The sequence below is a fragment of the Homo sapiens genome, chromosome 6 (assembly GCF_000001405.40).
Source record: "Homo sapiens chromosome 6, GRCh38.p14 Primary Assembly".
NCBI classification, from domain to species: domain Eukaryota; kingdom Metazoa; phylum Chordata; class Mammalia; order Primates; family Hominidae; genus Homo; species Homo sapiens.
This window is the reverse complement of record NC_000006.12, coordinates 136,491,632-136,517,073: the sequence shown is the minus strand read 5'-3', so window position 1 is coordinate 136,517,073 and position 25,442 is coordinate 136,491,632. Positions and strand designations below refer to the sequence as shown.

Sequence of the window (25,442 nt, the reverse complement as noted above, 5' to 3'; positions counted from 1 at the left end):
TGGGATTAATGGAAAACTCTGATCTGCCTTAATCAGGGAACAGTAGCAGTGATCATCTGCCATTTTAAAAGCCAATTCAAAAGGATTTTTTTTTTTTTGCAAGGGTTTTTTTTTCCTTCTGATGTGGGGTGTGCATGTGCGCTCGTGTGCATGTATGTGAGTTGCTTGATGGCAATGTCCTATGCTAATGGACAGGTTTCTGCCAGTGGTTGAGATTATGGATGCTTACACTGGGGATGCCAAATGTATCCAGGCTTATTTTTGCAGGCTTATTTTCACATACTTATTTTCAGCACCAAGACTTCTTATTCTAAGTTTGGTTAGCCATCTTTTCTTTCAATACTTCTTGTTTCTCTGTGCTAGTCTTGATTTGTTCTCTAGTCACTCAGAAGTAAGTGCTGTGAACACTTACGATGGAGAAAGCACCAAATTAAATGTTATTTGCGGCTATAATTGAACATATATATGCCAGCGGATCTGTGTCCTGGTGAAGTAGATACTGTCTCGCTTGGAGCTCTTCCCTCTACCTGGTATGTACTTCTGCTGCTTCTCCTCTCTCCACTTCACTCTCCCTGGTCAACACCTACTTGTCCTTCAGTTTAAATGTCATTTCCTTGGCCAGGCATGGTGGCTTATGCCTGTAATCCCAGTGCTTTGGGAGGCCAAGGTGGGAGGATCATTTGAGCCCAGGAGTTCAAGAACAGCCCTGGCAACAGAGACCCCGTCTCTACAAAAAATACAAAAATTAACCAGGTGTGGTGGTGTGCACCTGTGGTCTCAGCTACTCCGGAGGCTGAGGTGGGAGAATCCCCTGAGCCCAAGGAGGTCGAGGCTGCAGTGAGCCATGATCGTAGCACTATACTCTAGCCTAGGCAGCAGAGTGAGACCTTGTCTCAAAAAAAAAAAAAATTGTCATTTCCCTAAGGATGTCCCCAGACCAAGCTAGTCTCAGATTCTAGGCCCTTTCTTACTCCAGGCAAATTGTGTATTAAGTGTTTGCTGAGTCGTTTATTGTCTGTCTCCTCAACTAGACGAAGCTTGCAGAAAGCAATGAATATGTCTGTCAGATTCACACTGTGCCCCCAGCAACTAATACAGAGTCTAGTATGCACGTACTTTCTTTTATTGTGCTTCATGGATACTGCATTTTTTTTACAAATTGAAGGTTTGTGGCAACCCTATATCAAGGAAGTCTGTTGGCGCCATTTTTCCAATAGCATGTGCCTACTTCTCATCTCTGCATCACATATTGGTAATTCTTGCAATATTTCAAACTTTTTCATTGTTATTCTATCTGTTATGGTAATCTGTGATGGGTGATCTTTGATGTCACTATTGTAATTGTTTTGGGATGCTACAAACCATGCCCACATAAGATAGCAAACTTAACAAATATTGTGTGTGTTCTGACTACTCCACCAACCCAGCCATTTCTGTCTCTCTCCCTCTCCTCAGGCCTCCCTATTCTTTGAGACATGACAATTTTGAAATGAAGTTAACTAATAACCTTACAATGGCCCCTAATCTAAGTGCTCAAGTGAAGAATTACATGCCTCTCACTTTAAATCAAAAGCTAGAAATGATTAAGCCTAGTGAGGGAAGGCATGTTGAAAGCCTAGATAGGCTGAGAGCTAGGCCTCTTGCGCCAAACAGCCAAGATGTGAATGCAGAGGAAAAGTTCTTAAAGGAAGCAAAAAGTGCTACCATGGTAAACACAAATGATAAGAAAGCGAAACAGCCTGAATGCTGATACAAAGAAGATTTGAGTGGTCTGGATAGAAGATCAAACCAGCCACACGTTCTCTTAAGCCAAAGCTTAATCCAGAACAAGGACCCTAACTCTCTTCAATTTTATGAAGGCTGAGAGGTGAGGGAACTGCAGAAAAAAAGTTTGAAACTAGCAGAGGATGGTCATGAGGTTTAAGGAAAGAAAGTGTCTCCATAACATAAAAGCACAAGGTGAAGCAGCAAATGCTGATGGGGAAGCTGCAGCAAGTTATCCAGATCTTGCTAAGGTAATGATGAAGGTGAGTTCACTAAACAACAGAGTTTCAATGGAGATGAAACAGCCTTCTGTTGGAAGAAGATGCCATCTAGGACGTTGATAGACAGAGAGTCAAAGTCAGTGCCTGGCTTCGAAGAACAGGCTGAATCTCTTGTTAGGGGATAATGCAGCTGAGTCATTGCAATCATTGACTTGGAGTTGAAGCCAATGCTCATTTGCCATTCTGAAAATTCTAAGGCCCTTAAGAATTATGCTAAATCTACTCTGTGTGCACTCTGTCAGTGGAACAACAAAGCCTGGATGACAGCACGTCTGTTTATAGCATGGTGTACTGACTATTTTAAGCCCGCTATTGAGACCCACTGCTCAGAAAAAAAGTTTTCTTTCAAAATATTACTGCTCATTGACAATGTACCAGGTCACCCTGATGGAGATGGACAAAAGAGGTTAATGTTGTTTTCTTTTTTTTTTTTTTTTTTTTTTTTTTTGAGACAGAGTCTTGCTCTGTCACCCAGGCTGGAGTGCTGTGATCTCAGCTCACTGTAACCTCTGCCTCCTGGGTTCAAGCTATTCTCCTGCCTCAGCCTCCCAAGAAGCTGGGATTACAGGTGTACACCACCACACCTGGCTAACTTTTTGTATTTTTAGTGGAGACAGGGTTTCGCCATGTTGGCCAGGCTGGTCTCAAACTCCTGACCTCAGGTGATCTGCTTGCCTTGGCCTCCCAACGTGCTGGGATTACAGGCATGAGCCACTGCACCCGGCCACAAGGAGGTTAATGTTGTTTTCATGCCTGCCATCACAACATCCATTTTTCAGTCCATGGATCAAGGAATAATTTTGACTTTCAAGTCTTATCACTTAAGAAATATATTTTGTAAGGTTATGGCTGCCATAGGTAGTGATTCCTCTGATGGATCTGGGCAAAGAAAATTGAAAACCTTCTGGAAAGGATTCACCATTGCAGATGCCATTAAGAACATTTATGATGCATGGAGGGAGGTTGGTGTGCCAAACCCCTATTGACTCCAGCGGGGATGGCACCAGGTTCAAGAGGCTGAAGAAGAGACCTAGAGCCAGCGAATGAGACATGGGTTTTACTGGGGACTTACGTACAGGTGAGAGAGTCCAGTGGTGGCAGACTGGGCAAAACCACCACCACCACTTGCAAAACACATGCAATTTATATAACATTTTCACTTAACACCCTCCCCCTAGCAACTTCCACCTGGCAAACCTCATTTAACCCAAAACAATGGGCCGTGATCCCCTGTATGGCCCATGTTCCACAGGATGCGTCTGGGGCTCAGGTGTTCCTCATAGACAAGGAATGGATCTCTGGGTTGGCCACTTCTGAGTACACATTGAGGTGCTCTGCCATACGGGGTCATTCTCAGGGTATACTCAGGTCGCATTATCACTGTCAGGTGCATCTACCATACAAAACTCAAAATATCAACATTAACAGGTGTTTGTAAGCAGTTGACCCCAACCTTCATGAATGACTTTGAGGGGTTTAAGACTTCAGTAGAGGAAGTAACTGCAGATGTGGTGGAAATGGCAAGAGAACTAGAATTAGAAGTAGAGCCTGAAGATGTGACTGAATTGCTGCGATTCCATGATAAAACTTGAACAGATTAGTTTCTTCTTATGGATGAACAAAGTAAGTGGTTTCTTGAGATGGAATCTACTTACGGTGAAGACGCTGTGAACATTGTTGAAATGGCAACAAAGGATTTAGAATATTACATAAGCTTAGTTGATAAAGCAGCAGCAGGGTTTGAGAGGATAGAGTCCATTTTTGAAAAAAGTCCTGTGGATGAAATGCTATCACACAACATCGCATACAACAGAGAAGTCTTTCATGAAAGGAAGAGTTCATGGACTTGGCAAATTTCATTGCTATCTTACTTTAAGAAATTGTAGCTGGGTGCAGTGGCTCATGCCTATAATCCCAGTGCTTTGAGAGGCAGAGGCAGGAGGATCATTTGAACCCAGGAGTTTGAGACCAGACCGGGCAACAGAGTGAGAACCTGCCTCTACCAAAAACAAAACAAAACAAAACAAAACCTAGCTTGGTGTGGTATCACAAGCCTATAGTCCTAGCAACTTGAGAGGCTGATGCAGAAGGATTGCTTGAGCCTGAGAGGTCAAGACTGCAGTGACCTGTGGTTGTGCTACTGCACTGCAGCCTGGGCAACAGAGTGAGACCCTTTCAAAAAAAAAAAAAAAGGGAAGAAATTGCCGCAGCACCCCAGCCTTCAGTGACTACTATCCTTATCAGTCAGCAGCCATCAACATGGAAGCAAGACCCTCCACCACCAAAAAGATTACAACTCACTAAAGGCTCCAATGATTCTTCGCATTTTTTAGCAATCAAGTAGTTTTTAATGAAGTTATGTACACTGTTTTGGGACATAATGTTGCACACTTAATAGACTACAGCGTAACGAAAACACAACTTTTGTATGCACTGTGAAACCAAAAAATGTGTGTGACTTGCTTTATTGCAATATTTGCTTTATTGGGGTGGTCTGGAACTGAACTGGCAGTATTCTGAGGTATGCCTTGTTGAGGCTTCCTAAATCTTCATTACATCAACAGGTGTCACACCCTAGATAAAAAGTTGAGAAGAATACATCCAACAATTTTTTACATCCGTAATAGTCTTAGAAACTTTGGTATTTACTTTTTCCACTGAAACAGTTCTCTTTTTCTGTTGAGCTGTTCTGTAGAACTTGAAGGAAATTATTTCTAGGTGCTGATTCAAGACCTCTTAGTCCATGGGTGCTAAGCCAGATGGCAGAAGCCCAAATCTGGTTCCTCATAAGATAACTGATTGGAGGCAACACACTCTGGCCCTGCCAGCCAGAGAATGAGACAGCATAGCTGGAGAGGTAGTCTGTCTAGGCCTTTAAACATTCCAGGGTTCAGGACTTTGTTTTGAATCTAGCAAAGGCCTGGAGATATCAGATCAATCACCACCCTGCCTAGTGATAATGACGGTGAATTTTGTATTAACGACCTTTGTCCACTAGCCTTTATGCAGGGATGACTTGTTTGTTTTCGGCTAGGACATTGGCTTGGACAGTCTGCAGTGGCTTACTTGGATCAAATTCTAGAGCTAGACCATTCCAGAAGCACCTTCTACCATCATTTTTCCTTGAACTGCCAGAGCTTATTATAAAACGTTCATTTCGTGTTTGTGGCATATCCTCATTACAGCCGTGTTTGAATTATTATAAGTATTTTCTTTCCTTTTGCACAGTTGAAATTCAGTTATCATGACCATATTAAGTGTAAGCCAGGGAGAACTTGCATACACAAATCCTTAGTGATTTAAACTCCCACTGAGCTCTTGACTAATAGTGTCCCTCACTCCCACCTGCTGCTCTGTGGATTAGGAAATATCGTGGAAAGTGAACTGGAGCTGCTGCTAATTTAACAAAGTCCACTGTGTACCTAGCCACATTCCCTCTAGTTCTCCACCTATTCAGTGCATCTCATTAAGCCACCCTCACAAATTTCCTTTTATGCTTCTCTTTTATAATACTATCTCTGCACTGCCTTTTTTTTTAAGGCCCAGAAAAACAGGTTCTTTGTGGGTAGACAGTTCCTGGTGCACACCTTTCATTCAGCACTGTAAAGATGCAAAGTGGCAACTGAGATATTAGGATTCAAAACCTCAGCACTCTGGATTTTTACCCTGGGCTTGGGGAATCAAATTTTCTTTTTATGAATTTGCTAGCTCTGATTCTTCTGTGACACCACAGTAGAAAATCCTATCCTAATTCTTAATGGTATTGTTCAGAATCCTATAACTTCCCCTTACCCATCTAGTAGTTTAGAATACCATAACATTAAAATTAGTATGAATTTTGAGTGGAACTCCAAACTGACCTCTTATATCAACACTTCTAATCATCAGCCAGATTTTCTCACAATCTAAGTAATTTCAAAATTATTCTCACTCCACTGCCATAAGTTTCAGTGACACACATCTACTTTGATGCTGCATGACCTTCACTTGAACTTCATTCAGCCAGCTGTGTGGGTTTATGCTGGGACTTGTTTCCACACCACCTACGATATCATGAACTCAGAAATTCCCCTAGGTACCCACAGACTTCAGATTCAGCAAACAATGATTTGCTCCCTACCCTATGCTAGATGTTTCCATACGCAGTAGTCTTCCGCTTGTCCTTCTAGGAGCCTCAGTCGATGCCTGAAACTTCAGATGGTACCAACCCCTATATGTATATACTATGTTTTTTCTATACATACCTGTGATACAGTTTAATTTATAAATTAGACACAGAGATTAATAACAATAATAAAATATAGCAATATACCATAATAAAAGTTATATGAGTATGGTCGCTCCCAAAATATCTTACTGTGTTGTACTCACCTATTTTCAGACTGTAGTTGACTGCAGGTAACTCAGAATGCAGAAAGCAAAACCAGCGATGAGGGTGGACTGCCGTGTGTGAGCTCATCCTCCTACCTGAAGAAAAGCCTCACACCTTCTGAACCTTCATCCTCTCCACCACCCCCAGGCTTCTGAACCCCCTGTGTTCTCACAGTTATGAGTCCTCCTTCCCACTCACTGGTGTTTTGTCAAGCCCGGAACTCACGGGTAACCATTTCAAAGATGCACTTGCAATGATGCCTGGGCCTTCCTTGCAGGCTGGAGTGTCCCCTCATAGCCTCCTGTTTCTTTAGGTCTGTGGAGTGTTACTGTGAGACTCCTAAAAACCAGCTGTGTGGGTCGTTTCTACTTTCTTATCCTCTCACCATCAGCTGAGCCCAATTTGCTGCTAGCCGGTTGTCAAATCACATCACAGAGATGCTCACCCCATTTTGTCTACTGTATGTCACTCTTTTGCCCAGGCTGGAAGTACAGTGGCACGATCTTGGCTCACTGCAACCTCCACCTCCTGTGTTCAAGCAATTCTCCTGTCTCAGCCTCCCGAGTGGCAGGGACTACAGGCACACGCCACCACACCTAGCTAATTTTTGTATTCTTAGTAGAGACAGGGTTTCACCATATTACTCAGGCTGGTCTCGAACTCCTGACCTCAGGTGATCCACCTGCCTCGGCCTCCCAAAGAGCTGGGATTACAGGCATGAGCCACCACGCCCAGCATATACCTCAATCTTAACATCTAATATTTGCTATGAATATTGAGGATGTTTTAAATTAGCTTCCAGGCAGGGCACCATAGCTCACGCCTGTAATCCAATGCTTTGGGAAGCAGAGGCAGGAGGACCTCTTGAGCCCAGGAGTTCAACACCAGCGTGGGCAACATCGTGATACTCCATCTCTGCAAAATTAAAAAATAGCCCAGCATGGTGGTGCATGTATGTATTCCCAGCTAACTCAGAAGGCTGAGGTGAAAGGATTGCTTGAGTCTGGGAGATTGAGGCTGCAGTGAGCTATAATCATGCCACTGCACTCCAGCCTGTGCAACAGAATGAGACCCTGTCTCAAAAAAAACAAAAACAAAAACCGAAACTGGGTACAGTGACACATGCCTGTAATCCTAGCACTTTGGGAGGCCCAGGTGGGAGGATTACTTGAGGCAAAGAGTTTGAAACCAGCCTGGGCAACATAGCAAGACTGCATCTTTACAAAAAAACTTAAAAAAATAAGTAGCTTCTACATCATAATTTACTCTCTTGACTAGAGGGAGAAAATAGGTGGAAAGACATATAGCCTGTATTATTCTAATTTAAAGTTCAACAGGAAAGAGAAGAATGAGGAACTTCTGTTTTCATTTGATATGATTTTGAAGAAGGAAGAGGTTAATGTTTAAAAAGGACTGTTGGCCACTGACACTGGATTTCACTAAATCCTGAGTGTCAAAGGTAATTGCAGTCATGTGGCTAGTGACATAGTTTTTTGGTGAAGCATTATCAAGAGGAGCAAATTGAATGCTCCAGCCCCATCTGAGGATTTCTTGGTTATTTATTGTGAGCCATTATAACTACAGATGCTTCATGAGAGAGTTAATATAATTACTGGTCTATATCTTTTTACTTTAGGAGAACAGAGTTAAAGAATGAGTCCATTACTATTTCAGGTGATGTGTTTAGAAAGCAGAGCTTTAATTCAGGACTTAAATGGTATTAAATGGTGTTTCTTGAATTCCATTCTTCTGACACTTACTGTCATAATCATTTGTAGTGAAACCTATGTAGTCATTCCCAGCATCCCGGATTTGGTTTCTTCCAAGATTAGATACACTTTAATGAGTAGGTAAATTTCCTATTTCAGTTTCTCTTTAGTGTATTTTATCTTCAAACTTTACTGTGATATTTTAGTGTGAACATTAAAACAAAAAAAGGAAAACCATCCTGGGTTTTGACTGATGGTTCATCCTGGACCAGTCTATGGCATTTAGCATTATCTTTTCTTTTATTGGGACCCTGAAACTTACAGTTTATGAGACTTAGAAGTTGACTGAAGAGAAGCAGGCATCCCTGTATGAAGTCATAGCAGGTATATCAACACAAAGCTTGGGACAGTTAGGCTCACAAAAAGTATTGGTGTCCAAATTCAGAATGCTTGATCTCTGTTAAGTTAACATTTGATAAAAAAATTAATTTCTTTATCCTGATGCTGATGAAGATCTCTTCTGAGAATCACAGCGATGCTTCAGGACTCATAATGATGTGACAAATCTTTGTTACTGTGGTCTCTGATGAAAACCAAATTTTCTTTTCTTTCTTTTTTTTTTGAGACAGTGTCTCACTCTGTTGCCCAGGTTGGAGAGCAGTCGTGTGATCTTGGCTTACTGCAGCCTCCACTTCCCCAGGCTCAAGCGATCCTCCCACCTCAGCCTCCCATGTAGCTGAGAGTACAGGCATGCGCCACCATGCCCCGCTAATTTTCGTGTCTTTGCAAAGATGGAGTTTCACCATGTTGCCCAGGCTGGTCTCAAACTCCTGAGCTGAAGCGATTCACCCACCTCAGCCTCCCAAAGTGCTGGCATTACAGGCGTTCACCACTGCACCCAGCCTGAAAACCAACTTTCTAACAGGCAAATTGGGCAAGTTAGGTTTTAATGTACTAGGAGTAGCTCTGAAATTTTAAATTGGAATGTGTGTCAAAGAATTTGTAGAATTGAGGGAGCTTGCAGTGTGTTGTGGTGTCTTGGAGGCCATACGGTGTAGGAGTTAAAACTTGGACCCTGGAGCCAGTCCAGAGCCCATTTTTGCCTCCTCCTAAACATATGCTTCAGGCAAAGTACTTACAATTTCTGTGCCTCACTTGCTTTATCCATAAATCAGGGCTAGTAGTGACACCTATCTCATAGGGTTATTAAAGATTAGGTAGAATAATATCTAAAACATGCTTGTAACTGTGCCTAATCAGGCACTAATCAAGCAGCCTGTAAATGGTAACGAATGTTATTAATATTTGGAAAGCTTTCTTAGTTCAACAGCTTTATCTTAGTAGTTTTAAGAAACCAACATTTCTGCTAAGATGTCTAAATTTTGTGTTTTTTTAAATGTCTTCTCTTAAATTTAAAAAGAAAAGAATTCTTTAAAAAATAAAATTTGTTTTTTCTTTTTTTTTTTTTTTTTGAGAATCTTCTCCTGGAAGGATGTCTAAATTTTGGAAGACTTGAAACAAGTTAAAAGAAATTTGTTTCTGGTCTATGAGAAAATTGAAATCAGTAATTCTGACTTTAGGCAGGTTACTACCCCCCTTCCCGTCCTTCTCTCTTGTTTTCTGGATCTTCTGCTTGGCCTCCAGGAGTCCAGAGAGGGAACTGTGGGATGTGAAGACTCATTAAATTCACATGAGGTATCCTTTAAGCCCTCCATTGAGATTGACCCCCGCTTAAGTACATTTCAGCTCAAAACGCTGCCTTCCCCCACTTTTCTGGGGAGCAGGGATTACTTTTCTTATAGCCCCTGTTAAAAGAAAACTCCAGAAAAGTTAAATTCAGTGGAGTTTAATTGAGCAAAAAAACAGAAACGATTCACGAATCAGGCAGCGTCCAGAATCACAGCAGATTTGGAGACTCCGGGGTGCCTCGTGGTCAGAACAAGTTTATGGACAAAAGGGGTAAAGTGATTTACAGGAATTGGAAGTGAGGTTCAGAAACAGTGCGATTGGTTACAGCTTGGTGTTTGCCTTATTTGAATGCAGTTTGAACACTCAGCAGTCTATGAGTGATTGAAGTATGGCCGCTGGGATTGGCCAACACTCAGCTATTGTTACAGGTGCATATTACTAGTTAGGTTTTCAATTTTGTCTGCCTATTAAGCTAGGTTACGGTTTGTCCACAAGGACTCAAATATAGAACGAAGTCTTCAGGCCATATTTAGTTTGCTTTAACACCCGCCTCAAGCTTCATTCCTTTTTGGAGGTGAAAGGAATTTATCCAGTGTTCTTGCACGTCAGTGAAGGAAACCTTTCCAGTGAAAAGGAGTCTGTTGACCTGCCTAGGCTGGACCAGTTCCAGTATCAACCTGGGCCAACTCCCAGTACTGAGGCTGGAAGAGCAGATGCCCCCTGATAAATAATCTTTTATTGTTTCCAGAAATTTCCCAAAGCTTATAAACCTTAAAATATCCTGAATTATCTAAAACTGTGGATTGTGTCCTCTAAAAACTCCTACCAATGCCCTTCCCTCCCCACATTTCTCTTCCCTTCCCTACAGGTGACTTTCAAGTGTGGTTTGTGTAAAGTATTATTAGTTCCAGCTATTTAGTGACCTCTTCGTTCTCAGTGAAACCTAATACCATCCACAGTAATGATTATGCATGTCTTTAGGTAGGGATTAACTTGTTACAAGTTTTCTTTGATTACCACAGTCATCTTATGTATATTCAATTCTCCCTATTTGATATTGTTATATTATACAGTATATCAGTGGCAAGATGTGTTGAATTGAGATGAGGCTGTTAAGAAAAGGTTTTCTAGGAAAACATAAATTGGCATTTACTCAAGAATTTTCTTTAACATTACATTCAATTAAAAACACAGATTTTTTTGTTGTTGATTTGACAAACAACAAAGAAATTTCTCAAGGCTTAAATACATTATTAAATCTTCTTTACCAATCACTTTGGTTTTGTTACATCAGCATGTTTATAAAGGTTTTCTGAAGGAAAAGATTATATCAACATACACTTCACAGGCAATGTCTAATGGTTGTTTTTCCCACAGTGGAAAAGATACTGTGGTTACATGAACTACATTTAAAATTCCTTATTTTTGCTACTTGCCAGTAATAAGTCCTATATATAAATTATTAGATTTTTATTTTTTTCAAACTTTTAAGTTCAGGGGTACATGTGCAGATTTGCTATAGAGGTAAACTTGTGTCACGGGTGTTGTACAGATTATTTCATCACCCAGGTATTAAGTCTGGTACTCATATGTTTCTGGATCCTCTTGTCCTCCGGTAGGCCCCAGTGTCTGCTGTTCCTTTCGATGTGTCCCTGTGTTCTCATCATTTTTCTTTTACTTCTGACTTTTTATAACTTGAAAATAATCTCAGATGCCTAGCGATTGTCTAGCTATAGCAAATATTTTTATTGGAACTTATTATCCTTGACAACCACTTTTATAATAGCATTGTGAGGCAAACAGTACTTTTACATCAGACACACAAAAATGGGGACACTAAAATTAGGACATTATGGCTAATGTTCATCTCTCTCTCCCTTCCTCTCCCTATCTCCCTCCCGAGGGGGAGAATATGTACCCTTGCAGCCAATTTCTGTAATTTTACTATATATATATATATATATATATATATATATATATACACACACACACACACACACACACACATTACATGGAAATGTAATATACAATTGAGTTCTTAAAACAGTGTTCAGGAAGATACTATTTTATGGCTTGCGAACTCAGCTTATTTCACCTTATACCTTGTTGTAAGATTATATGCCTTTCTCAGTCTTTTATTTTATCGTCTGTTTGGCCCTAAAAAAGGGAGTTACAATGTTTGCAAAATTATTTTAAAAAACAAAAGAAGCAGAGGGCCAACATAATAAATACTCATGGACCCCAGGACCCAGACCTTTTAAACACATTTTAAATATTTTGGCTGGGCATGGTGGCTCATGCCTGTAATCCCAGCACTTTGGGAAGCCAAGGTGGGAGGATCACCTGAGGTCAGTATTTTGAGACCAGACTGGCCAACATGGCAAAACCTCATCTCTTCTAAAAATACAAAAATTAGCCAGGCGTTGTGGCACATGCCTGTAATCCCAGCTCCTTGGGAGGCTGGGCACAAGAATCGCTTGAACCTGGGAGGCAGAGGTTGCATTGGGCCGAGATTGTGCCACTGCACTCCAGCTTGGGCAACAGAGCGAGACTATGTCTAAAAAATTTTTTTAAAGGTAAATATTTTATATTAAAAGATATATTTATGGGAAATGGGCTGGATGCGGTGGCTCAGGCCTGTAATCCCAGCACTTTGGGAGGCCAAGGCGGGTGGATAGCTTGGGCCAGGAGTTCGAGATGAGCCTGGCCAACATGGTGAACCCCTGTCTCTACTAAAAATACAAACATTTGCTGTGGTGGCACCCACCTGTAGTCCCAGCTACTTGGGAGGCTGAGGCAAGAGAATTGCCAGAACCCAGGACGTGGAGGTTGCAGTGAGCCAAGATTGCACCACTGCACTCCAGCCTGGGTGACAGAGTGAGGCTCTGTTCCCCCCCAAAAAAAAAACAAAACAAAAAACGATGTATTTATGGGAATACAAATTATTATGGCTAATTTCGTCATTTCCTGTGTATCCTTCCGTAGTCTCACCTCCTTCCATCTCTCTCCCTGTTTCCCTATTTCCCTTCCCAGGGAGATAATATGTACCCTTGCAGCCCATTTCTGTAATTTTACCACATATATATATCTATAAATAATACATCATTTGTGTGCTTAAATTGACATAAATTATGTCATATTAACATATCAGTTTGCTACTTTTACTTCCCCTACTGAAGTTTTAAAATACCCATCCCAAGTGATAAATATAGTTTAAGTGCTGCCTAGAATTCTGTAGTGTGACTTTACTGCAGTTTATTTACTATTCCCCAACTGATGAATGGAGAAGTTGATTATAGTTTTGTTTTTTCACTTTGTTGTGACTACAAATCGGTGCTGCAGTAACTTTTTATAGTGCTCTCTTTTAGCATATATGCAAATATATATTCCTAGAAGTGGTATGTGCTGTGCATTTTCACATGCCAAATTGCCTTCCGAAATAGTTTGATCAGCATACTTCTGCCTGCAGCTCATGGCAGTCCCTATTTCCCCATATTCACTTCCACTTGATTTAGTAAGACACTTTGATTTTTGAGAATTGGATGGCTATAAAATGGTATTTAGTTTTAATTAGCAAAATTAAACATTGGTTAATGTAGATTTTTTTAAATAATGGAAAGGACAGCACTGTTTAGGTGGTTTTTTTCCCCTTAGGGGAAGGCAAGAGAAATTGCTGCATCAGTAATCTGGTATAAAGCTAATTGTTTTCCTAAGGTATGCCGAGTCACTGGGGGAGGAAACAGATGGTACCAGCACTGTGCGGATCTGTGGGAAGGGCAATTATCATCTCCATTGACATGGCGGGTCAGGGTTAGAGCCAGGTTTCAGATTCTTCTTCCCCCACCCCCCTTTTTTTTTCCCCCTCAGAAATCCTTGTTTGGACAGATTCTTCTTTTGGAACCACATCGAGTTGACAGACCTGAGCCTTTGGTTTTCTCTTCTTCTTGCTTCACTTCCTTTTGGTCATTCAGCATCAATACTATTAGGTGGGCAGAGAAAAAGCAAAGTACATAAAAAGTTAAGTTGGCCGCCTTCTTTCAGAATAAAGGAGGGAAAGGGAGAAGGCACCATTTGGGGAAGATTTCTGAGGAGAGCATGTATTGAAAACTTTGCTTAAGATTAGATTTGGTAATTATTTCTGGGTTTCCATTATTCATGTAGTCCTTGGGCCTGATTAGCATTTGTAAAGTATAAACTCTACACATGCAAGGCATTAGCATGAATAATTAAAAGGTAGGGAGTTAGCTATCCATGACTGTGGTTTTCTTTTATTATTGTAGAGTCTATTTTAGTTAACAAGAGGAAGCTTAGACTTGCAGACTGCTGGTCTGGCAACCTCAGTTTTGCTTTCAGCTCAGCCATATATCATGATGCATTGTATGGCTGCCTTATTTTCCTGGAAAAAGAAAGTTACTTTGCTGGGAAAAAAAAAATCAGTATTCTGTGCACTCTATTCATATCAATTATAAGAGTGCAGTCTGAATTCCTGAGAGGAGAGCTCTGCTTAGAGTAAGCATATCAAACTAAGTGTAATTATTATTGTACTTATAATTTAAAACTACCTTGGTCTTTGTTATAACCCATTGATTCAGGACCCATCAGCCCCTACAAAATATCGCTCCCCAAATTTTGGACATTTCCCAGGGGTATCTGATGTGCTCACAAACCAGTCCTCTGCAGGAATGCCACATTCATCCTGGAAGCATCTTCCTGCCGGTGCTCTGTGTGCCACTCCACTACTTATGCTTTGCAGTTATGTTTCCCATACTGGGGTTCCACAAGGCACTCCTAGTGCAGGCCTTTAATGACTGTGCCAACAAAAGAGTGTTTCTAATTCAGGTTACTTTTGAACTTGTAAGAGCCTTTAGTATTTTATTACGAATCACAAAGAAAGGAATGTAGTATACTTATCTGGCCAGGGAATAATTCTGTGTGGGATGTCTATGTGTGTATACCACTTTAGGAAATTATGTAGCATGTGTATGCGTTTGTGTGTGCACACACAGAGCACTTCCTAAGAGATTCTTCATTTGCTGCTCCTTGGTACAAAAGCCATGAGCTGGATCTATTGTTGCAAATGGATGAATTACACTTTTAAAATGGCTTTTGGTAGATTCCTTGACAAGCCCTGGTGTATTTAATTTTAAAGTCAAAATTGGACCCCTGCTACATAAAAAATCTATAAATCTAACTTGGCTGTTGGTGAAAAATGCACAAAAAGGCATCTCAGCATTTTCTAGTTCTTGGTTTGGAATCTAGTGGCAAATACTACTACCTCTGTGAATGCCAGGCTCTGGTCCATGAAGCCATGGCTGCCTGTGGCCCTCTGAATTCACAGGAGGAATCTTTCCTTATTCTGCAGCCTCACACCCAGACTGTGATCCTCCCTTCCTACTCCAGATGTTCCAGTGAGTAGAGGAGAAGAGAAAATTTGTGATGGGAACTTAATGGCTTCATCTGGAGCCTTATCTGAGAGCTGCATGTGAGCAAACCATGGTGGATCTGTCTATTCTCTCTGTTCTGGAAGGATGAGTGCGATGAAAGTTGTCATGCTGTGGTCTGATCATTGCGTAACTTAAGTTTGACATGTGCAATATATAAAAAAAGCCATCTGGGCATAAAAATTGGATAAATAACTAGGGTAAAATAAATGATAAATAAGATTAATGAGACAGGAGTGGAAGGGAAAATCTGAAAAAATTTCCATTTCCAGCATTATAATATTTAGTTAGTAAGAGAAATGACAACCACCATCATGAGTGGAGCACTTACCATGTGGAAGCCATGAGGGTGTTCTCTTAAGGGAGGTATTTACCCCATTTTACACAAGGTAATACCTAAACCCCAGGGTGAAGTAACTAGCAAGAAATATACACAGCTAGCAAATGGTGGAGCAGCTTTCAGGCCCCTCTGACTCCAGGCCACCTCCTGGCCCTGTGATAAGAATATAAGAACTGGAGAGGAAGTGAGTGCTTTTCATGAGGGAACAGACCTCCAGGGGTCTGTTGCCCGAAGCTTCATAGTGACTGGTCACTGTTCTGCTTCTCTGGCTACTGAATTAGTGTCAATTAAAATAAATACATGTGGCAAACTGTTTCAACATGGAAGAGAATTAAGGGAAACATTTCAGGTTTTTAGTTCTACTTTGGAAATAATATTATTCTTTATTTTTCTTTTCTCAAAAGGAGCATGTGATTATGTTTAGAAAGTTTGTAAAACATAAAATTTACATTGCAATGAGGGTAATCACAATAATAAGATTCTTGGAAAACTCCTGTTGACATGTGGATGTATTTTTTTTCCGTCTTTTTCTGTGCATCTTCCCAATGATTTGGAAATTAGAGGCTCTGCTTTAAAATCTACTAATGGTTATACTGTAAAAGATTTTTCTTCAAATAATCTTACATTATCTGACAGTGACAAAAATATTTTTATTCTGCTTTGTAATAGATGAGCTTTTTCTCTTCTTAAAATAAAAAATTAGAGAAATAATTAAGACCTGGAATATGGGATTACTCATAAATCAAAGCAGATGTTGAAACACCTGATTTTTAAGAAGCTGTTAGAAGTTTGCTTTTTCCCATTCAAATCCCTTTGGGATTCAGGTAGATGCACTTAGTGTAACCACAAGTACAACACTTTGCTACGTCAGCATTCCTACGTTTAGAGGACGATAGTATGTCTAACATTACTACAAAACCTGAAAAGAATTTGATTTATTTAGAGTTACTTTCAAAGTGATTCAAGATCAGTGAAAAGATGTTTACTAAACTTAGGGCAATTCTATGCAACAGCGAGACAGATCCTCCATAAGTGTACAGACGCACTTAGATGTTAAGAGATTAATTAAAAAACAAGTCAAATATTAGTATGTTCCATAAAGAAGGAATTGAGAAGGAAAATTCCATTTGAAGAATCAATGTTGAGACTGTGAGCAACAGTTTTCCTGGCCTGGGATGCCAACGAAAACTGTAGAATTTGAAATTTTTATTGGGATAATTGTTTATAATAATTGCCAGTATTTATTGAACACTTGCTATGTGCCAGGTACTTTGTATAGATAATTTAATTTTAATCCTCACAATAATCAGATGATAAAGGCAGCTACTACAATTTCCTTTATATATGACTAAATTGAAACTCAAAGAGGTTAAGTAACTTGCTCAGAATCACACAACTAGGAAGTGCTGGAGTCTGAACTAGAATACAGGTCTGTCTGACTCAAAAGTCCACTCAACTGTTTTTGTTTGTTTGTTTGTTTTTGAGAAAGGGTCTCTCTCTGTCACCCAGGCTAGAGTGCAGTAGTGTGATCATGGCTCACTGCCAGCTTGACCTCCCAGGCTCAAGCAGTTCTCCCGCTTCAGCCTCCTGAATAGCTAGGACTATAGGCATGTGCCACCATGCCCAGCTCATTTTAATTTTTGTAGAGATGAGAGCTCCCTATGTCGGCCAGGCTGGTCTGGAACTCCTGGACTCAAGCAATCCTCCTGCCTAGGCCTCCCAAAGTCCTGGGATTACAGCTGTGAGCCACTGCACCTGGCCATTCAGGGTTTTTTAAAACTGTAAAAGGTTTGTAAAAACAAAACACAGAGAAGAATGTACAACATACTTGTGGCCCGGAAGCCTAAAGTATTTCCTGTCTGACACTTTATAGATTAGGCTTGTTGACCCCTGTCTTAGCTCTTTCTCTGTCTGGAGAGATAAGTAGTGGAGTGATCAAGGGCATCAGTTGTGGAATTGGAGGGCTCTGCATTGGCTTCAGGCTGTTACTGTCATCAGCTGTGTAACTAGGCACCGTTACCTAACCTCTGAGTCTTGTTTTTCTCAAACCCTGTAAAATGGTGATAACAGTACTTACCTTGGGGTTATCGCATGAAGCCCCATATTAGTTAGGATTGTGAACAATAAATGAAACTATTGGCACTTGTAAATCATGTGTTCAGAGGAGGTGGGTGGGTTCTTTTTCTCCTTGGAAGTGAAAAAGTCACAGAGCCTCAGGGCTGCTAGCCCAAAGAGGAGGCCAGAGCTAAGAAATCTCAGGCCGGACAGGATGGCTTATGCCTGTAATCCCAGCACTTTGGGAGGCCAAGGCAGGCGGATCACCTGAGGTCAGGAGTTCAAGACCAGCCTGGCCAACATGGTGAAACCCCATGTCTACTAATAATACAAAAATTAGCAGGGCGTAGTGGTGCGTACTTGTAATCCCAGCTACCTGGGGGTTACCTGGGGGGCAGAGGCACGAGAATCTCTTGAACCTGGAAGGCAGAGGTTGCAGTGAGCTGAAATCATGCCACTGCACTCCAGTCTGGGTGACAGAGTGAAACTATGTCTCAACAAAACCCAAAAAATCTCAGCGAAATGGAGCTAGTATCCTAATGACTTCCTGAACTTTCAGATCAAACTGAAGCCTTTTCTACTTTTGGGCCTGTCAGTTGTGAATGCCTATAAATTTCTTTATTATTTAAGTCAACTTCGTTGGGTTTTCCACACACACACACACACACACACATTGCCATATAGGTACAATTGCCCAAGCCACCTGTGACCGAATGGCTTGTGGGATCTCTTGGTTCACACAGTCTTTCATCTCCTCCATCTTCCATTTTTCCAAACTCTTAGGTGATGTTTGGGACTCTACCTTTCATCTCCCTCTAACCACCAAACATTCTCAATCCATTTCCTCTGCACAGATAAGCATGTTCCCTTAGACACAGGTGCATGTGAACACCTGAGTCTCAACTCACAGAGACTTCTGGTTTTCATTTCATTTTAGAACCAGCGTCTGCACTGTCTTGTCCAAAGTCAGTTGGAAAGAAAAGTACATAAATTTGTGACTGTTTCTCCTTTCATCTCCCTTCCTATCCATGAATCGGGCAGGTCCTGGTGTTCCCAGTGTCCTCAGTTACTTGTGCTACTCTATGTACGGGCCCTATTCCCTCTACTCCTATCCTATCATCATGCTGATGATGAACATCACAGTTTTTAAGTGTTCCTCTAAAAGGCAGATGGGTTTAACTTTACAGTGTGCAAATCTAAATATAGGATTCTTTCTTTGTATCTGAAGAGGGATCCCTAAAACTTTTGGGGTCCACAAATTATCAAGTATATGTGTATGTCCTAATGTGCATTTTTCTGGGGAAAAGGTGTAGCTTTCATCATCTTCTCAAAAGGACACATGACCTAAGAAAAGGATAAAGTCTCTCACCTTTGTCAGTTGAGAAAAATAACAAGTCTCCATCATTTTAGGAGGTTTATTTGTCAAAGTTAAGGATATGTGGTCAGGAGTCAGGTCTAATGCCTTTCTCCAAAGATGATTTTGAGGGCTCCAAATTTAAAGGGGAAAGGGTGGTATATTGAGAAGTACACAATTTTCATGTAAGAGAGGGGCTAGGGAAAAACAGTCATTCATGCCTTTGTCTGGCTCAGTGAATCTGCTTTCTTTTTTTTTTTTTTTTTTTTTTGTGACAGAGTCTGGCTCTGTCACCCAGGCTGAGTGCAGTGGCACGATCTCGGCTCACTGCAGCATCCACCTCCCGGGTTCAAGCGATTCTCCTGCCTCAGCCTCCTGAGTAGCTGGGATTACAGATGTGTGCCACCACGCCTGGCTAATTTTTGTATTTTTAGTAGAGACAGGGTTTCACCATGTTGGTCAGGCTGGTCTCGAACTCCTGACCTCGTGATCTGCCCACCTTCAGCCTCCCAAAGTGCTGGGATCTGCATTTTTTTTTTTTTTAAGTAAGATGACATAGACATGGGGTAGAGGAAAAATGCAGGGAATATGCATTTTACATAAGATAACAAAGACAAAATGGGGCAGGGGAACAATCAGATTGCATTTGCATCTGGTGGGTGGTGTGGGGAGGTGGCTGCACCTGCAAAGATAAACTACCAATTTACACTGCGGTGGTGAAATTTTAACAAAAACACCTTAAAGATCTTGCAGCTCACTAGGAATTTTCTTGTGGGCAAAAATATTGGGGAGGCCTGTAGCTTTTCATCTTGTAGCCATCTTATTTAGGAACCAAAAAAGGGGTTCCTAAATAAGCCAGTCATTCTACAATTCCTTCCTTTTGGGAGTTGGCCTTCTCTTCTTACCCCCAAGGTTCTGACAGCCATCACTGCTGCTTTGGAGTTAGGAGAAGCTCTGTCCTCATACAGCAAGAGAGAGATATGTTCCTGGCAGCTCAGGTTGAAACTCTGGCCCAGGGAAATATCACTACATGATGGCACAGAAAGCAGTACTTTACGTTATAGGTTAGGTTATGGATCAAATGGGCTTTATTTTATTCATTTATTTTTTTTTTTGAGATGGAGTCTCGCCCTGTTGCCCAGGTTGGAGTGCAGTGGCGCGATCTCCGCTTACTGCAGCCTCCACCTCCTGGGCTCAAGCAATTCTTCTGCCTCAGCCTCCCGAGTAGCTGGAATTACAGGCATGTGCCACCACTCCTAGCTAATTTTTTTTTTTTTTTTTTTTTTTTTTTAGTAGAGACGGGGTTTCACCTTGTTGGCCAGGCTGGTCTCAAACTCCTGCCCTCAAGAGATCCACCCTCCTCAGCCTCCCAAAGTGCTGGAATTACAGGTGTGAGCTACTGCACCTGGCCTCAAATGGACTTTGGTCAGCCTAGGAGCCAAGTTAACATATGTAATATTGTTTCTGTTGGGGAAATATTTTTAAATGCCAGTTAAATGCCATGTTCACATGTAGGGGACTACCAGTACTGGTAAGTATATATGTATAATGGTGTATGAAAATTGATAGGATCTTGTGGAATAGTATCTTAAGTAAAAAGAAAAAGAGAACCAGAGAAACATGACATTGACAAATGTTTACACTTTTTCCCCATTGTTTGTTGAGTGTTAACTCCATGTAGTTTTCACATGAAGCTCATCCTATCCATTTATTAGTTGTATGACATAAAGGAATGAGGGATGTGAGAGGATGCTTAATTGTCTGTCCTTTTGTGACAACTAAGGCTTCTCTTCTTTTCCAACCACAGGTAATTAGGAGCTGCTACTAAGAGGAAACTTAAACAATGTCCCCCAGTGGATATCTTTTCTTCCCCTGGGGGAAAATACCTAAATTTTTTTGCAAATAGTTAATTTCCCTTTGCCCCACCCTGGGGTAGGGAGAGATGGGTCCAGTATATTCATATGACAAAAGAAGTATACCTGTTCAGTAACATAACATGGTTTGGGGATGTAAGTTATGCCCTTTATAATTTGTAGCTTAAGGAACATCCTGTTATAACTTATTATTTTAATTGTTCCACAGACTGAAACATTCCTTACCAATTAAGCCCTCCTTGAGCCATTATTTTGAGGGGACTTTCAGCTTTCTTATTAATATCTTCTTTTTCCAGTATTTAATTTTTCTTTGTTTTGATATGTATAAATCAAAGAGAAAAATTCAAGACCTGTGATCCTTAAAGATAACCGTAATATAAACTTGAAAATGTTATTTCCCTAGCAAAATCTATAGATTCTGTTGGTATCTATAGATTCTATCCAAATGCATATCGTTTTTCACACTGGGGACATGTGGACCTATAGAAACCCCTGTAGAGAAAACCTTTCCAAGAAAGTTTAATATACCTATCAGGAATACATTTTTTAAAAAAACTTATACAGGTTGAGTAACCCTAATCTGAAAATCTGAAATCCAAAATGCTCCAAAATCTGAAACTTTTTGAGCACCCACGTGACTTTCAAAGGGAATGCTCATTGGAGCAGTTTGGTTTTTTGGATTAGATATGCTCTACGTGTGTGTGTGTTTATGTGTGTGTGTGTGTGTGTGTGTGTGTGTGTATTCTCACACTTCTCACTTGTCATGAAAATAAACCTATGTATTTAAACCCAGAATCTGGAAGACTAGAGTTCAAGAATGAACTTAAGTAAGCTATGACCAAATTGGAACGGTCCACACACAATCACCTGGATATGCATTTTTCTGAGAGGATTCAGAGCTCCTGGTCTTCTCTTGGAGAAAGTTTTAACACCATTTAGGAAAGTTTTCGGAGTAAGTTAGATAATGGACTTAAATAAGGTCTTTCTCCTCTTCTTGGAAGAACCATCAATTTTCTACATGTTCAAGCTTTCAGGGTCTTAGAGATTCAACGGAGATAGAAGGTGCTGGCTATAGGTAGAAGACAGTAATGGTAAAGATAAAGAGGGTCAGTACAATTCCAGAGGCCAAGTAGAGCTTCTGCTAGGCCTCATTTTGTGTTTTGAGCAGGTTGGTTCTGCTGTATAAGAAGTTTTAGTGATGACCTTAGTGTTATAAAATGAGGTGTCACGCTGTCTCTCATTTCTCTCTGTTTGTGTGTATGTGTGTACAGGAGATAACCTTTCATCTGTGGTATCTATGGACACCCATGCTCTGTATTGTTGGATTCAAAGGCTCTCAAGGAAATATTCTGTCCACTGATTTAATGCATAGGATTTGACACAGTGTGAAATTGTCATCTCAAGTTTTGTTTTTAGGCCCCTTCTTAAGGAGAGAGACATCTTTTGAGGACTAGTTTTTTTCTAGTTTGTCTATATCCTGTCAATACAATCTTTCATCTCGTGTAGACATGACTTAATAATGAGGGATCCCTGTGGATTAGTTGTAGCCTCAGTGTACATGAAATGAGAGATGATAATGGTTATTTAAGGATTTTTCTTAATCATGGTAAAAGACATAACAGAAAATTTACCATTTTAACCATTTTTAAATGTATAGTTCAGTTGCATTAAGTACATTTACCTTGTTATGCAACCAGAGGATTTTTTTAACAGTGAATTTTTCTGCACAAGTATTTCTATCTTGCCTAGTCAGAGATTTCTCCCCAGAAAACCATATATCTTACCCCAAGGACAATATAAGTAAAATATGTTTGCTAAAATAACTGAGCACATCAGTGTAAGTTTTTACAATAAATAAAAGACTCAATGTTACAACTGCCACCAAATCTGTTACTAAATCTGTCAGAATTCTAATTTAGCTACTGCATATCACACCCTATGAATGCAGCCTTTCTTGTAGCAAATCTTCACATTTCCCATTTCTGTTTCCTAAGTAACAGTCTATTTCTAGGTAGGCTGCAAGACTGAAGGCACACAACTCAGCACGCTTGGTTCTACTAATTCGTTGCAATGATACTGATTGCCTGTTACACTAAGATAGGCTATTTCCAGTTATCTTCCATGTCATAGATTTCAGCCTCTAAAAAAGAAAAGTGGTTTTATATGGTACAAATAAAAATGGTAAGGTATTAAGAACTCTAAAGGTTGTAATTACTTATAACCTGAGAGGTCGGTAGGTTGTGCCTTCCCCATTTTACAGACATGAAACCTGAAGCTCAAAGCTTAAATAATAGTCTCCCATTACAGCTGGATTTCAACTTACGTTGCCTTGCTATAGAGTACTATAGGGTGTTAGAGTCTAATGCCATTCTTAGACTTATGGGGAGATAAAACTGCAGATGGGAAGCCTTTATCACATATGTCTGAGAGTTTTGAAAAATAATTGAATCCCAATGAGAACGATACAATGCTCTCGGTATGGGTTTTTCAACATGTTTCATAGGAATTACTTTGCAAAACTTTGAGATAATCATTGTAGAATTATGACTTCTAAGGGGAGGGTTTAACTGACAGATGGTCTCTTAGTCTCCCTTCTTCAAAAGTTGAAAATAGAAGCCAGGTGTGGCAAGTGCGCTCCTGTAGCCCCACCTGATCCAGTGTCTGAGACAGGATCCCTTGAGCCCAGGAAGTCCAGGCTGTAGTGAACAATGTTCAAGCCATTGCACTCCAGCCTAGGGGACAGAGTGAGACCTCTTTAAAAAAGGAAAGAAGAAGCCGGTGCGGTGGCTTATGGCTGTAATCCCAGCACTTTGGAAGGCCAAGGTGGGCGGATCACCTGAGGTCAGGAGTTCGAGACCAGACTGACCAACATGGAGAAACCCCGTCTCTTCTAAAAATACAAAAATTAGCCAGACGTGGTGGCACATGCCTGTAATCCCAGCTACTCGGGAGGCTGAGGCAGGAGAATCGCTTGAACCCAGGAGGCAGAGGTTGCCGTGAGCCGGATCGTGCCATTGCACTCCAGCCTGGGCAACAAGAGTGAAACTCCGTCTCAAAAAAAAAAAAAAAAAAAGGAAAGAAGAAAAGAGCACAAAAAAAAAACTGGGAAGACACATGAGACAATGCTTTCACATCATTTCTTGGCACTATTAAGTATAACAGTTTTATGGTTTATATTATTTTATTCAAAAGAATTTTTCCAATCTTATTTTCTTCCCAAAAACAATTTTTAGTTCTAGGACAAAGGATTTATTAATTTTACATAATAAAATTATACAAATATATATACACTATTTCTGTCCAGTGGTGTTTCTTCCTTCCAAGTAGACAGACATTAAGTACTTTATTTAATAATACTCTAACAGGCTTTGGTGTAAGCCACTGCCTTTGCTCCTGAGAATACTTTGAATGAATATATCATTCGCCATTTCTTTATCTCTTGGTTTTCAGGAAAATTTCTTGGGTTCATCTAGCTAAGTTAAGATGCATAATTTTATTTTCATTACTTTTCTGTATTTTATTCTTTTATGGAAATATTGCCCTTTATACTGTAATTTCAAAATCAGTTAAACCCTACTGATGCAGCTCAGCAATCAGAATGAATCTTCCAATTTTCAAATGATAAAAACCAGACAACAGAGAAATGTAACTGCTTTTTCCCAAACTCCCAAAGGAAAACATTAGAGCTAAGATTATATTTACATGTGTTTTTAAATCACATACTTTTGCAACAGATGACACTTATTTGAAAGAAAGTTTTCCTTTTCATTCATCAGAAAATTACATGGGAGGGTTCATAGTTCCAGGAGTTTAAGATGAATATATACTTTGAGTTCAAAAATACTTAATAGTCACTGTAAAGATACTAGGTGTACTTCCCGGCTTAGAGATAACTGTGTTCATATTACTGAATCCAAAGACTGTAAAGGAAGTGATTACAAGTGTGTTGTATTTACTGCCTATAGTATATATATTCCATAATGTCTGCTCACGCAAGGGATCTAGGTTGTGCACTCCTTATGAGAATCTAACTAATGCCTGATGATCTGAGGTATGACAGTTTCATCCTGAAATCATCTCTCCCCCCACCCCCTGCCCCTGGCCCAGAGAGGGGACCTCTGTCTTGCATTATAGCTATTTGTTTACATGTCCTAATCACCTTCTTTTGGAATATAAACTCATGGGTTGAGGAGCATAACAGAGAAAATGTATTTCCCCCCGCTCTCCCCAGTTTCCCTAGTAACTTAGCTGAATGTTGAGATACAGATGATTAATTATGGAGTAGCTCTGGGTGACTATTTGTTATGTAGACTTAATGCATTTATAACATGTTTATTCTGCTGTTTTCCTGTAAATGCCATTCTTTCAGATCAGAATCTGAAACCAAAGAGAGCCAGCCAATCACGTGGGCAGGATTACAGGAGCATCATTTTAATGTATTGACTTTTCAGTCTATTTCTGTATTTAAATCTAGGATTTCCATTCAATCAATATAACCCACTAATTGAGTGTTAGACTCACATTATAAAAATGATTTTGAAAAGAAAATAAGATAGGAGAGAT

At 40.3% G+C, this 25,442-nt stretch overlaps 1 protein-coding gene across 35 annotated transcripts in view, besides 1 other annotated feature; it reads left to right on the top strand.

Annotated features, from left to right (window-relative positions):
* MAP7 (microtubule associated protein 7) overlaps positions 1–25,442 on the top strand; it is a 207,689-nt gene that overhangs the window by 33,349 nt on the left and 148,898 nt on the right. The window lies entirely within an intron of this gene.
* Positions 7,897–8,097: a silencer, noted in NCBI's record as "peak6146 fragment used in MPRA reporter construct". NCBI's record gives its function as "represses an SCP1 promoter by STARR-seq MPRAs in K562 erythroleukemia cells {active_cell/tissue: K562}" and the evidence as "EXISTENCE:reporter gene assay evidence [ECO:0000049][PMID:32103011]".